Source organism: Homo sapiens, chromosome 11, assembly GCF_000001405.40.
Source record: "Homo sapiens chromosome 11, GRCh38.p14 Primary Assembly".
Taxonomy (NCBI): Eukaryota; Metazoa; Chordata; class Mammalia; order Primates; family Hominidae; genus Homo; species Homo sapiens.
The window spans coordinates 134,132,142-134,147,417 of record NC_000011.10 but is presented as its reverse complement, the minus strand read 5'-3'; the positions used below and the strand labels follow the sequence as shown (position 1 = coordinate 134,147,417).

The 15,276-nt window shown below is 44.3% G+C and overlaps 1 protein-coding gene across 2 annotated transcripts in view; it reads right to left on the bottom strand.

The window, feature by feature from the left end:
* JAM3 (junctional adhesion molecule 3) overlaps window positions 1-15,276 on the bottom strand; it is an 82,930-nt gene that overhangs the window by 4,584 nt on the left and 63,070 nt on the right. Inside the window, exons 2-6 of one of the 2 annotated variants that reach the window (NM_032801.5) lie at window positions 7,502-7,567; window positions 6,648-6,761; window positions 3,025-3,177; window positions 2,424-2,626; window positions 1,373-1,472 (exon numbers count right to left, since the gene is read on the bottom strand). In NM_032801.5, coding sequence (NP_116190.3) covers window positions 1,373-1,472; window positions 2,424-2,626; window positions 3,025-3,177; window positions 6,648-6,761; window positions 7,502-7,567 — 636 coding nt within the window. The remainder of the gene's footprint in view (window positions 1-1,372; window positions 1,473-2,423; window positions 2,627-3,024; window positions 3,178-6,647; window positions 6,762-7,501; window positions 7,568-15,276) is intronic. The other variant, NM_001205329.2, reaches the window with a different exon arrangement.

Genomic DNA, 15,276 nt, shown 5'->3' with positions numbered 1-15,276 from the left:
CTGTGGTGCAATCTCGGCTCACTGCAAGCTCCGCCTCCCGGGTTCAAGGGATCCTTCTGCCTCAGCCTCCCAAGTTACTGGGACTACAGGCGCCTGCCACCACACCAGGCTAATTTTTGTATTTTTAGTAGACACAGAGTTTTGGCATGTTGGCCAGGCTGGTCTTGAACTCCTGACCTCAGGTGATCCACCCGCCTCAGCCTCCCAGAGTGCTAGGATTATAGTGTGAGCCACCACGCCTGGCATGCAATTTTGATGTTAAAATGTCAATTCCCAAGTTTCATCACTAAAAAGTCAATAGGCTAAAGTAGGTCTGGGGCAAAACTGCAGGAGAAAACAACCCTAGAGCAGAGTTTCTCAAACGTGACACATGAGAAGAATCCTTCGGAACGCTTGTCTCACACACAGACATTTCTAGCATATGTCTGAGGTGGGCTCGAATCTGTATGTGAAACAGTGGTCCCAAATGGGTATCACCAGGCAGTTTTGGAAAATGCTGCTCTGAGGAGAGCTCCAAATAGGGAGGAGGGAAGGATTCAAAAAATGCTCCTGGCTGGGCACAGTGGCTCATGCCTGTTAATCCCAGCACCTGGGGGAGGCCGAGGCAGGAGGATTGCTTGAGGCCAGGAGTTTGAGACCAGCCTGGGCAACACAGTGAGACCCCGTATCTACAAAAAATAAAATTAGCTGAGCATGGTGGTGTGTGCCTGTTGTTCCAGCTACTCAGGAGACTGAGGTGGGAGAATGGCTTGAAGGCTGGGTTTGAGGATGCAGTGACCTGTGACTGCACTCACTGCACTCCAGCCTGGGCAACAAAGCAAGACCCTGTGGTGTTTTTTGTTTTTTGTTTTTTAAGAAAAAAAAAAGCTCCCCAAGTGATTTGGACACATCCTCTCTGCCCCCACCCTCCTCTCAACGCCCCTCCATTAGGGGAACCAGAGCCCTGAGATAACATTACTCTAGGGGCTAAGCTTTGTCTGCAGGTAAAATTACTCGGGCTAAAACTGTCAGTTTTCTACAAGAGGGTTATAACTGGATAAATTTCTGGAGACCTGACACCACCTTACATTTTGATAATTCTATCAATTACCAAAGAATGGAGTTTACTAAACTTGCAGTGAAAGTTGCAAGGCTGGCCACGTTCCCAACACCAGCAGATCCCAGAAGGTTTTGTTTTGAGGACCTGCTTATCTGGACTCGGTTTTCTCAGCCTTCCCTTCACTGTGCAGTGGGTTCTGGTGGACCTAGGCAGCTCCAGAAGAAAGCTAACCCATGGCGGAAGAGTTCTCTAAGCTGATGGTATAATATTAAATTAAAATGTTCTATTCACTTCCCAGTCTTGCGATGAAACCTCTTCAAAAAAGAAACTCACAGACTTCCATCTCCTGCTCCTCACACCTGGCTGAGCCTGCGTCATTGGAAGCAATGCAGTAGTACTGCCCAGAGTCGTCCTTGTGAACAGCAGTGAACACCTGTTTCAGGGAATGACAAGTAAATAATCGGACCCATCATGGGGCCGATTTCTGAGAGCACAGCCAGCTGGGTCCAGAACTAGGTCGACACCTGCTCGCTTGCTTTCAGCTTCCCCAGCACTGTGCATGTTCCTCCCTGACCCACTCCCTGATACCTGCCTGACAGCTCCCCAACAACCAATCCCCTTGGGACTGGAGACACCAAAGCCTGGCAACATCCGAAATGGGAGGTGGAACCTTGCTTTTATTCTGGTAAAAGGGCTCTTCAATGATGACTGCTCCTGGGGCAACATTTTGGCAAAATGAACACAGAGGACCCTGTTAAAATCTGTCTGATGACTACGTGGAACTGGATGGTCCACAGATCAGAAGGTACCTCCCAGGAGAGAACCACATGCAGTAAAAGCCTGGTGTGGTTTGCTGGCCAGGTCACTTTGTCCTCTAGTGCATGACCAATCTGTTTCCTCTCCTCCCCCACCTCCCACCACCACCACTGGGTTATTTTGAAACAAATTCCAAACACCTTTTATCCATAAATACTTCAGTATCTCTACAAGACTGTAAAAAATCGTAACCACAATACCTTCATCATGCCTAAAGCAATGAACAGTTGCTTAATAGATCATCAAATACCACCTAGTAATCCAATTTCCCCGATTGTCTAATGACTTTTACAGTTGATTATCCGATCAGGGCCCTAGTAACATTTGCTTAATATCCCTCTTCGGTCTCAATCTATGGTTTCTTTCTCTTCCTTATTTTACCCCCTAAGAATGTACTTGTTTATAAAAGGAAGAAGGGTCATTTTTCCTGTAGAATCCCTAACATTCTAGATTTTTGACTCCTGTCTTATCAAGAAGTTTCAGTATCTCTCCTAATCTTCTTTTCACAATAAGCATCTCTTGCCCCAACAAAGACATCTCCATCCTCACCTCTTAGAAGAGATCTTACCAAAGTGCCTGTTTCAGAGTTTAAGTGGAAAGAAGAATTGCGAAATCTGGGATTGGCTCTGGAATCCGTGGGCAGTGGTACATCATTGCGATACCAGCTGTAGTGAGGCCGGGGGTGGCCCTCACTCTCCTGGCAGTGCAGTGTTGCCATCTTGCCTACTGGTACAGCCTTCGGCACTCTACAGACAGGGGTCACTGGCTTCACTGTGGGGAAAAAGGGGTGGTGTTTAAGATCTCAGTGACAGGGCTCTATTCTTATTAAAGCCCAGAAGAAATCAGCTCCAAAGACAAGACAGCCAGTCGAGGGGTTCCCACGCCACTGCTGTTCCCAGGATCACAACTGCAGACTGACAAGCCACCGCTGCATCCTGCCCTCCCATATGTTAAAGCGCCTCCTCTAGCTGGTGGAAGGAAGTGACAGGAACTTCACTTCCCTTCTCACCTTCTACCCCAACTCAGGCAGTCTCAGCTCTCAACAGTTCTCCCCTCCCTAAGCCATGTGAAGCCCTCAGGGATACAGTTCTAGAAGGAAAGAAACCAAGACACTAACTGATCTCTTGCATCCTATGGTGGCAATGTCTCACCTTCGCATGAGCTCCTACCTTGCACAGTTAACTCGATCACAATCTCATCAATTTCCTTGCGGTCATTTCGAGCAACGACCTCACAGCGATAAAGGGCTGAGTCTCTCCGTGTCACATTCCAGATCTTCAGGGATGTCTTCCCCAGTATTTCTGCACGACCCGCCAAGTCTCCTACAGAAAAGACACGAGGCACTAAAAAACTTCTTTAAAGAAATCTTTGCCACTTGAAGAGGGTGGTTTCTGGGGCTAGCACTAGATGCCACAGCAAGGAAGCCTGCAGATCAATATTTATTTCTATTCCCGAGTACAGAAGTGAACTCTCTTGAGGACAGGAACCATGACCTATTCCTATCTGTAACCTAAACACCAAAAATAGTTCCTGGTGTGCAAGACACACTCATTACCATGTGTCTCCGTCATTAAAACCAGGAACTTCACCTCCTCCTCCTCATTTCCAGGAAGGACCGCCCATGAATAGAAAAAAACACCACTAGAAAAACAACCAATGTTTCATAAATGATGCTGAGATAACTTGATATCCACTTGCAAACACATGAAGTTGAACCTCTCTCTCACTCCATATACAACAAAGACCTAACATAGGAGTTAAAACTATAAAACTCTTAGAAAAATGCATAAGCATAAATCCCTCATGACCTTGGATTGGGCAATGGTTTCTTAGATATGACACCAAAAGCACAAGCACACACTAAAAACAGTTACACCGGACTTCATCAAAATTCAAAGGACAAAGGCAGGTGAAAACAATCCACACAATGGGAGAAATACCTGCAAATCGTACATCCAACCTAGCATCCAGAATAAAGAATTCACACTTCAGTAAGAAATAGACAACCTAATTTAAAAACTGGACATAAGGGTGGGTGCAGTGGTGCACACATATAGTCTCAGCTACTCAGAAGGCTGAGGTGGGAGGATTATTTGAGCCTGGGAATTCATGTCCAGCCTGTGCAACACAGTGAGATCCTGTTTCTAGAAAAAAAAATATTTTTAAATGGACATAAAATTTGAACAGACATTTCTCCAAAGAAAATACACAAATAAGACCCTCAACATCATTAGTCACCAGGAAATGCAAATCAAATCCACAAGACGCCGCTTCCAACCCACTAAGATGGCTAGAACTTAACAAGTCAGACAATAACAAGTGTTGGTAAGGATGTGGGAAAATACACTGCTGGTAGGAGTGTAAAATCGTAAAGCAGCTTTGAAAAACACTCTGTCGGTTTTTTAAACAACTAAACATGCAACTACTGTAAGACTCAGCAGTTGTACTCTTGGTCATTTATCCCAGAGAAATGAAAACTTAGGTTCACACAAAAACCTGTAAACAAATACTGATAGCAGCATTACTGATAATAGCCAAAAAGTGGAAACAACCCAAATGTCCATCAATAGAATGGGTAAAATAATGTGGTATATCTACAATGGAACATTATTCAGCCGTGAAAAGAAATGAAGTACGGACACAGGCTACAACACAGATGAACCTTGAAAACAGGATGCTGAGTGAAAGACGTCAGCCATGGAAGACCACAGTTTCTATCCAGTGTCCAGAACAGGCAAATCCACAGAGACAGAAAGTGGAATCAGAGCTGCCAGGGATGCGGGAGGAGGACTGACTACTGCTGGGTACGGGCTTTCTCTGTGGGATGATGAAAATGTTCTGGAATTTGATAGTGGTGATGGTTGCACAACTGTGAGTATATTAAAAACCCCTGAACTGCACACTTTAAAAGGATGCGGTACGAATTACAGCTCCATAAAAAAACATTTTAAACATAAGACATAATAACACTTTCAAAGAAGCAGGAAGAACCTGGAAAACAACAAATAGGGGAAGGAGTTAGGAAAACATGACACAAAAGAGTAGCAACTACTCATCGCTAAACCTGACAACTGCTGACAAGGACATGAAGGGCTTGCCATAATACACTAAAAACAGCACACTAAAAGATGCTTCCGATGGAGCACAGACGTTGGCAACAACATTTTCGAATGGGAAGCTTTGTTATACACCCACCCATTAGTGGAGGATTCGAACCTTTACCATGTGAGAAAAGAGTAAATAAACCCCACCAGGGTGCCTCTGGTGCAGCCCTGCACTGAGGCGAGGAAAGAGGCCAAGTACAGCTGCATCCTCCCCGAACCCCGGCATTCTGTGCGGGAAACCGTCTCCCTCGGCCTCCCCATCCCTGTGGCTAAGAGCAAAATGTTTAATCCCCAGAAAAGGAAAGTTCTTTAAAGAGTTTCTCACCTGGTTCCTCTGATGCTCTAACTACATGCTCAGGGTTTAGCAGGGTCAGCCTGAGTAGCCAAAGAAAACAGATCTGTGTTCTGAGAAGAACATTTCCATCACTCCAAAAATAAGAGGCAAAGGAGGGACTTCACGTGAGTGGGAAGCAAAACTCTTTTGAGGAGACTCAGGCTCCCGGCGACACTGAGAACCCAAAGCAAGACTGTGTTGGAGCTGCTTCCACAAATCCCTCTCAACTCTCAACTTCTCTGAGAACTCCACAGGCTCCGACTCATGCACGAGCCTGCATGTGTACCTCCTGCAGCTCCCGCCCTCCTGTCAGAAAAAGGATGCCATCCTCCTCTCCAGCCACCTGCCTGCCTCCCTCTGTGCCCCTTGGCACAGCCAAGCCCCAGCAGGCCTCCCCTCGAGTCTCTCTCCCTGCCTGCACCCCAGCTTGGGGCCCCCCACCAGCCCTCTCCCGGACTCTGCAGAAGGCCTCTGACTTGGGCCTCTGCTCTGAGTTGTGCCGCCTCCAATCTCTTCTCTACAGCAGCCACTTCAGTCTTCTGAAACATAGATGCAGCCACGGCACCTCCCCTGAGAGCCTCACAGCGGGCCCTCAGATACCGCCCATGCTCGCCTGGCATTCAGTGCAGTCTGCCTGGCCAGGCAACCTCTCCAGCCCCTCTCCCCCCTCTCCTCCCTCTCTCCCTGTCCATGTACCGGCAACAGTGGGGAACTTCCAGTCTTTCCCATCAGCCAGTCCGTCTGTTGCTTCTGCGTCTTCATACACAGCATTCTCTCCTGATCACCACCTCCCTCCATACCATCTTGCCTGCTAACCAGCCACCCTTCACACCGCACCCAGAGAGGCCACTTTGGGGAGCCTTCCCTGACCACCATCCTCCCACCCGGGAGGATGTCACTTCAGGGTACACCGTGTTTTCTCCCCATCGGCAACCCCAGCACCAAGCCAGAAACACAGTGGGTGGCTCAGTCCATTTGTGCTGTGCCCTTGCTGAAACATATGGTCCTTCTCATTCACTCACCTACATCACTCACATCAGGATCATGAGAAGATGGCCTAGGAAAATGTTCACTTTGATTCCCCAAAGAAATGGGGCTGTGAGCAGATTAAGATCCTAGCTAATGAACTGCACTTGTTGATGCTGGGGGACAGGGACAGGGAGGCTTGATATACCATTTGCATTACTTTTGCATATATTTGAAATTTTCCATAATTATAAATCTTTAAAAAAAAAAAAACGGTCCTAGCTACAGATGCAGGTTACCAGTCTGAGGTAAGTTTCTGGCCAAGAGTGTATACCCAGGTCTATGGACAGAGGAAAGGTCAGCAGGCAAGAGGACTACAGGATCATACCCTGAATTTTGTTGTCAAAAAACACATATGTGGTTTGTTCATCTTGAATTTTCTTCCACTCGATCCTGGGGTCACTTGTCTGCGAATCCGTAATGATGCAAGACAGTTCCACACCTAACACGCAAAGAAGAAAAAGAGCTCTCGGTGAATGTGGAGTGCTTCTACGTTCAGCTGCACCCAGACCCTGCAAGCTCTAATTCAAGAGGCCTTTCATGCAGATTAAAAACGTAGCCAACTCCACACTCCAAGAGACTTTGAGAAAGGATTTTTTGCCAGAAAAACAATAAAGATAATTAGCAAGGATTTTACTACATAGTGTACCCCTCCCTTAAACACCCTGCTTGTATATAAGAAATTTCTTGGCCAGGCGCGGTGGCTCACACCTGTAATCTTAGCACTTTGGGAGGCCAAGGAGGGTGGATCACCTGAGGTCAGGAGTTTGAGACCAGTCAGGCCAAACATGGCAAAACCCCGTACAAAAATCAGCTGGGTGTGGTGGCGGGTGCCTGTAATCCCAGCTACTCAGGAGGCAGAGGCTGCAGTGAGCCAAGATTGCGCCACTACACTCCAGCCTGGGCAACAGGAGCGAGACTCCATCTCAAAAAGAAAAAAGAAATTTATTTGTTGTGTGATCACAAAGCCAGGCAGGAGTGCGATGACAGCTGATGGAAAACTGCACAGGGCTCACTGCCGGCCTGCTGATGCCATGCTTCCAGGCCTGTGCACCGCAGAGCAGTCCACCCGGAACATCTCCCTGGCACACTTACAGAGACAGATGTGTCCTGAGTTGGCTGCAAGACATCAAATGTCCAGTAGATGGTGCCCATTATCCTAGGCATTTCGTTTGTACTTACTTTCAAATTCCTGTACCACTGGGGTTCGATTGCTGGATTTGAGATTTACAGCCCCTATCAGGCAGCCTGAAGGAGAAAGAAAAGTAAAATCAGAGACAATGTATCTCAAACGGCAGAGAAACCTTGCACTGAGGTCAGGTTTTCCCGTCTGCGTAGGCTATGGTTACTAACCACAGAGGATGGAAAAATATTCCACAATAAAGTCTCTTAGGTAAGCCAAGTTAACTGCTTTCTCTCTCAAATCTGACCTTCACTGGAAGGAGCCAAGGGAAAGAGAAGAGTTCTAAGAATTCCTTCTCCTTTTTAGTCCCAGAACAAAGCCCTCAGAGCTTTAAAGCCTTTGTCTAAGCATTTCCTATTGACCCTTCGACACCTCTCCTCCCAGACCTGCCCGGGCCTTCTGCCCTTTCTCCCTCCATCTTCCCCTCTTCCCCAGGCTTCCAATCCTGCACAGGCACCCTCAGTGGCACGTGATATGGGCCAGACTCTTGGGCTGGAACTCTTCCCTTCGGGACGGCATCAACACTCTCTGGGTATGGTTATCAACCAGCTAGGAGTCCACCTCGCTGTATGAGCAACCCGGTGGTTCCAGTCCACGAAGAAGTTTTCACCGGTCTTTGTTGAAATGAGAAAAATAATAATATAACACGGTAATTTTCACGAAGCTGAGTTTATATCATTGATGAAAGCAAGATAACTAATTGCATGGCAATCCCTTTCAAAACTAGCATCTGATTCCTTATGGGTTTGGGCAAACATCAGAAACCTGTTTACCATGGTCTCAAAATTTCTCAACTAATCTTGGAGAGAAGATCAAGTAGGTACATGGACTACCTACAAAATATTATTCTTTAGCTGCCATGCCTCTAATAAAACATGCCATCCCCAAAGAAGGCCTTCATACAGAACACCTTGATGAAGGTCTCTGGGTCCTGGCTTATGATAACCGCTAAAGAAAATCACAGAGCAACTCTGCTCCAAGCTGCTTTAACTCCTTGCATATTGGGCAGCCTCACACAGCCCATTCTTTTCCTTTATCTTCTTTAATGGCCCAGCTACATGGATCTTTTCTTTCTAAATAGTCAGATTTCACTAATTCTAGCAAAAGCCCTAAACAATAATTCAATAAAAAGGGATGGAAAACAGAAGTGTAATATACCTGAATTGCTATTGGTTCCTAAAACACTTCCACAAAAAGTTATAGAACAAAGGACAAGTGAAGATAATGTTATTTTGTTTGGATAACCATGGCTACTCCCTCTGGGAGCCAGAAATACATACCATGCATGTGCAGCCCCTTCTACTTCTCCTTCAAAATGAAAGCGCCCAGTGATGCACTAGTAAAGAATGATATGTGAGGCTCCGAGTCTCTACCAAGGCCACACGGGCTCCTTCTAAGGAAAGTGGCCACAAACATTTCTCTCAGCATGAGCACCACGACTTCGACGAGACACCACCACTGGCTCTAAGGGACTATTGGCCATAAACATTTCTTCCAGTATGAGCACCACGACTTCGACGAGACACCACCACTGGCTCTAAGGGACTAGTGGCCATAAACATTTCTCTCAGCATGAGCACCACGACTTCGACCAGACGCCACCACTGGCTCTAAGGGACTATTGGCCATAAACATTTCTTCCAGTATGAGCACCACGACTTCGACGAGACGCCACCACTGGCTCTAAGGGACTATTGGCCATAAACATTTCTCTCAGTATGAGCACCACGACTTCGACGAGACGCCACCACTGGCTCTAAGGGACTACTGGCCATAAACATTTCTCTCAGTAGGAGCACCATGACTTAGACGAGACACCACCACTGGCTCTAAGGGACTATTGGCCATAAACATTTCTCTCAGTATGAGCACCACGACTTTGACGAGACGCCACCACTAGCTCTAAGGGACTATTGGCCATAAACATTTCTCTCAGTATGAGCACCACGACTTCGACGAGACGCCACCACTGGCTCTAAGGGACTATTGGCCATAAACATTTCTCTCAGTATGAGCACCACGACTTTGACGAGACGCCACCACTGGCTCTAAGGGACTACTGGCCATAAACATTTCTCTCAGTATGAGCACCACGACTTTGACGAGACGCCACCACTGGCTCTAAGGGACTACTGGCCATAAACATTTCTCTCAGTATGAGCACCACGACTTTGACGAGACGCCACCACTGGCTCTAAGGGACTACTGGCCATAAACATTTCTCTCAGTATGAGCACCACGACTTAGACGAGACACCACCACTGGCTCTAAGGGACTATTGGCCATAAACATTTCTCTCAGTATGAGCACCATGACTTCGACGAGGCACCACCACTGGCTCTAAGGGACTATGACCAGAGATCAGCTCTGGCCCAAAGACCATCAAGGACCTGAGAGGTGAGTCATGAGAGCACTGCTCACCTGGATGATGACTGGACAACCCAATCACATCTTTTCTCTTAAGAAGTATGAAGCCAAGAGAAATAAGAAAATGGGAGAGCTTATAGTCTAGAGAAATAGAAGTACATTATAAGGAGATACAGGCTGATTGGTCAAAATGGTGGAAATACTAGAGTTGGTAACAACAGGTGAACTAGAGGACATAAAAGGTAAATGGTGTTTAATTTTCGTGAAGGCCAACTGAGATATGTATCTTTATAATAAACTTGGAAGGTAAACTAAACCAATTTGTTTCTTACAACTTCAAAGAAGCTAAATAATGGCAATCGTCACTTCTTTTATCCCTCTGCATTATGGCAAAGAAATGAATGCTTTATACTTCTTCTTCTTTTTTTTTTTTTTTGAGACAGAGTCTCGCTCTGTCAGCCAGGCTGGAGTGCAGTGGCGCAACCTCGGCTCACTGCAAGCTCCGCCTCTTGGGTTCACACCATTCTCCTGCCTCAGCCTCCCAAGTAGCTGGGACTACAGGCGCCCACCACCACGCCTGGCTAATTTTTTGTATTTTTAGTAGAGATGGGGTTTCACCGTGTTAGCCAGGATGGTCTCGATCTCCTGACCTTGTGATCCGTCCGCCTCGGCCTCCCAAAGTGCTGGGATTACAGGCGTGAGCCACTGCGCCCGGCCTTTTTATACTTCTTAATGAAGCCTTGGCCTGACCACTCTCTTGTTCAACTATCCTAGGTAAGTTTCACAAGCAGCTTTGTATTTTATTTTTCATGAACTACACATGAGATTTAAATACAGGTAGCTTTTTATGCCAATCCTAGAAGGCAGTATATCCCAGGAAGACTCCAGAGCAGAGGGCCACTACAAGTCATGTAAAGTTCTAGCTTAAATGACTATCTGCAATGGCTGGGCACTACATCAGATAAGGTCCCAAGCTGAGAGTCCTTCCTCACAATTCTTCTATTTCCAAATAATCCTTAAATTTACTAATACTCTAGAGCTCCTTTCTTGCCCATCCCCAACAGACCAAGGTGCCACTTTAAAATGTAGTAGTAACTGTATAAAAGAATGGTAGTGTGAGGATTGGAAGGCACAAATCTAACACGTGAAGACATCGTAAGTAACTCATCCAGAATCCTGCCCAATGCCTGGGGATAAGATTCGGACAGAAGTACTTAGGAGATGGGTTCTGGGAGCCCACTTGCAGCGGTGGCTGCTGAAGTTTAATTGTGCACACACTGAATCCAGTGCTACAGGAATACTCATACTGAAGTTACATTATTTAAGAGTGAGGAAAGGGTTTTTTGGAAGGCGGAAAAAGGAAAACTGCTAATTTGTCAAATGCTGTTATTCCTATTCAATTTCCTATTTTGGCCTGTCCATCATACTCTTAAGCTCTCTGGGAGATTCCATTCATTCAGCAGTTTTTGTTTTGTTTTTTGAGACAGTTTCACTCTTGTCACCCAGGCTGGAGTGCAATGGTGTGATCTCAGCTCAATGTAACCTCCGCCTCCCAGGTTCAAGCAATTCTCCTGTCTCAGCCTCCCAAGTAGCTGGGATTACAGGTGCCTGCCACCACACCTGGCTAATTTTTTGCATTTTTAGTAGAGATGGGGTTTCACCACGTTGGCCAGACTGGTCTCGAACTCCTGATCTCAGGTGTTCTACCCGCCTCGGCCCCCCAAAGTGCTAGAATTACAGGGGTGGGCCACCGCGCCTGGCCATTCAACAGCTTTTATTTATCTCTTATTATATACTAGATACCTGTCTAGATATTAGGGCTAATACATGAATAAGATAGATAAAAATCTATTAGCCGGGCATCACACCTGTAATCCCAGCTACTCAGTAGGCTGACACAGGAGAATCACTTGAACCCAGGAGGTGGGGGTTACAGTGAGCTGAGATCAGGCCACTGCACTCCAGCTTGGGCGACAGAGTGAGACTCCATCTCAAAAAAAAGAAAAAAAAAAAAGGATAGATAAAAATCTGTGCTCTCATGGAGCTAACATTTTAGGATTAAAAAATACCGTATTTATTCATCTTTATTACATTTCAACGTCTGATTGCAAAACTTATTACAAAGCTAGATGATCAAAACAGTGTGGGGTCCCCCCACAGCATAAAGACAGACATACAGATCAAAGGTATAGAACAGAAAGCCCAGAAATAAATCCTTGCATATATGGTCAAGTGATTTTCCACAAGGATGCCAACATCATTTAATGGAGAAAGGACAACCTTTCCAACAACAGTGCTGGGAAAACTGGATATCCACATGCACAATGATGAAGTTAGACCCTTATATTAAGTCAAATACAGAAATTAGCTTAAAACATATAAAACACCTAAATTTAAGAGCTAAAACTATTAAATTTAAGAGCTAAAACTATAAAATTTTGGAAGAACGCATAGAGAAACATCTTCATGACACTGGGTTAGGCAATGATTTGATACAACACCAACAGCACAGACAACAAAAGAACAAAATAGGTAAACTGGACTTCATCAAAAAAAATTTAAACATCAAAGGACACTACCAAGAAAGTGAAAAGACAACATACAGAATGGGAGAAAATATGTACAAAGCATATATATATGATAAGGGATTAACATCCACAATATATAAAGAACTCCTACAACTCACCGACCAAAAAAACACAATTGAACAAATTTTAAAATGGGCAAAGAGTTCAAATAGACATGCCTCCAAAGAAGATATACCATGAAAAGTTGCTCAACATCACTAGCCTTTAAGGAAATTAAATCTAAACCACAATGAGATACCACTTCACATCCATTAGGATGGTTATGATTTCTTTTAAAGGGGGGAAATAATAAGAGTTGGTGAGGGTGTGGAGAATCCCAAACCCTGTACACTGCTGATGGGAATGTAAAATGGTGCAGCCACCATGAAAAGCTTGGCAGTTCCTTGAAAAGTTAAACACAGAATTACTATACAATCCAAATACTGTACGATGTAATTCTTATTCTTCCTCCTTTATAGCTAAGGTACTTTTCCCCTCTGTCTTCTTATGTTTTATTTATCTTTGATTTTCTGCAGTGTGATTATGATATGCCTAGATGTTTTTTTTTTTTTTTTTTTTTTTTGGCATTTATCCTGTTTGGTGTTTTCTGAGCTTCATGGATCTGTGGTTTAGTGTCTGGCATTAATTTGGGGAAATTCTCAGTCATAATTGCTTCAAATATTTTTGTTCTCATCTTCTGTTTCTGGTATTATCATTTACAAGTATGTTAATCTTCTGTAGTTGCCCACTTCTTGTATATTCTGTTCCATTTTTTAGGTCATCTTTCTCTCTGTGCCTTCAGTTTTGGATGTTTCTGTTGGCATATCCTCAAGCTCAGAGGTTGAGTCCATCAAAAACATTTTTCGTTTCTGCTAGTTTTTTTTATCTCTAGTGTTTCGTTTTGATTCTTTCTAAAAATTTCCATCTCTCTGCTTGCACTGTCCATCTGTTCTTGCATGTTATCTACTTATGTTATCTACTTTTCCCATTAGAACCCTTAGCATATTAATCAGAGTTGTTTTAAATGCCCAGTCTGATAATTCCAACATCTCTTCCATATCAGAGTTCTGATGCTTGCTCCATTTCCTCAAACTGTTTTTGCTTTTTAGTATGCCTTGTACTTTTTGCTGAAAGCCAGACATGATTACCCAGGAAAATAAACTGTAGTAAACAAGGCTTTAGTGTTGTGGTGGTAAGGTGTGTGTGTAGGGGGGAAGGATTCTATAGACCTATGATTAGGTCTCAGTCTTTCAGTAAGACTATACCCTTGGGCTGTGACCTTCACCACTGTGTCTCAGTCCCCACTCCCCTTGGGTGGAAAGATGACTAGAGGCGGCTGGAGTTAAGTACCTAACAAGTGGGATTTCTTCCTGAAACACATAAAAATCAATTACAGTATTACAACATATTAATAAAGTTGGGATGACATGATCATCCCAACTAATGCAGAAAAAGCATCTGAACTAATGCAACAATCCTTTCAAGATAAAAACACTCAGTAAACTAGGAATAGAAAGAACTTTCTATAGATGATAAAGGTCATATATGAAAAACCTATAGCTGACAGCATATTCAGTGGTGAAAGACTCAAAAGTTTTTCCCCTACAATCAGGAACAAGACAACGATGCCCACTTTCACCACTTCTATTCAACATGATATTGGAATTTCTAGCAAGAGCAGTTTGTCAAGAAAAGGACAAAAAAGGAATCGAAGTTGGAAAGGAAGTAGGAAAATTATCTCTGTTTGTAGCTGGCATGATCTTAGATGTAGAAAACCCTACATATTCCACACACCAAAAATATTAGAATAAATAAATGAGTTCACCAAGGCTGCAGGATACAAAACCAACATGCAGAACTTCTGGTTCTCAGTCTAGCATGCAAACAGCTTGGAAACCCTCATCCATCTTGACAACAAGTAAAAAGCTGAACAACCTGAAAATCAACTCTTCTTAGATTTGTCAGAGAAGTGAGGTCACAGGTCAAAACACTGTCTCCAGATTGGAGAGACAGACAGGCAGATAAAGAATCCCAACCTGCAGAGCAGAAACTCAGGAGAAGAAGCCTCTGCAGGAACCACCAGTACCAGAGTAGGAAAACCTAAACTATAAATGATGAATCATTGGAGGCTCAGTGCCAACAAGTCTGAGAGTTAAAAACTCTATGGGGCCCAGTCTTAGCAGGCCCCCCCAGACATTCTCGTGAGTTTTATCTCCAGGGGTCCTCCCTGGTTCTCTCAGTGAAGATGGGAGAAAAATCCCCCCATACTCCTGGCATAGGGAGGGGAAATGTTAGCCATTTTGAAATACCTCTGAAGCATTCTGTCCTTAACAAGGCCTGCCCAAAAGAGAAATTGTCTTACCAGAGTCTAACCTACTGGGATATAATCAGGACATAACTGACCTGAATTTGTGTTATAATTTCTTCAAAAATCACAATTATAAACCAAAATTATAAATATTAACTCGTGAAATTAGCTTTATCGGAGATCTTAATATCTTCATACACCTTCGAATTATTGTCTAAGTATTCTTTCATTTCAACCTGCGGGTCTCCCTTTCATATTTCCTATAGAGGTCTGGTGGTAATTAACTCCCTCAACTTTCACTTATCTGGCAATGTCTTAACTTCTGCTTCATAGTTGAAGGATGGTTTTGCTGGATATAGAATTTGTGTTTTACAATTGTTTTCTTGCAGCACTTTAAATATATCACCCCACTTCCTTCTGGCCTCCAAGGTTTCTGGTAAAAATTCAGCTTATAGTCTTCTTGAAGATTAATTGTATCTGCTGAGTCACCTCTCTCTGGGTGCTTTTAAGAATTTCTCTTTGTCAAGTTTGA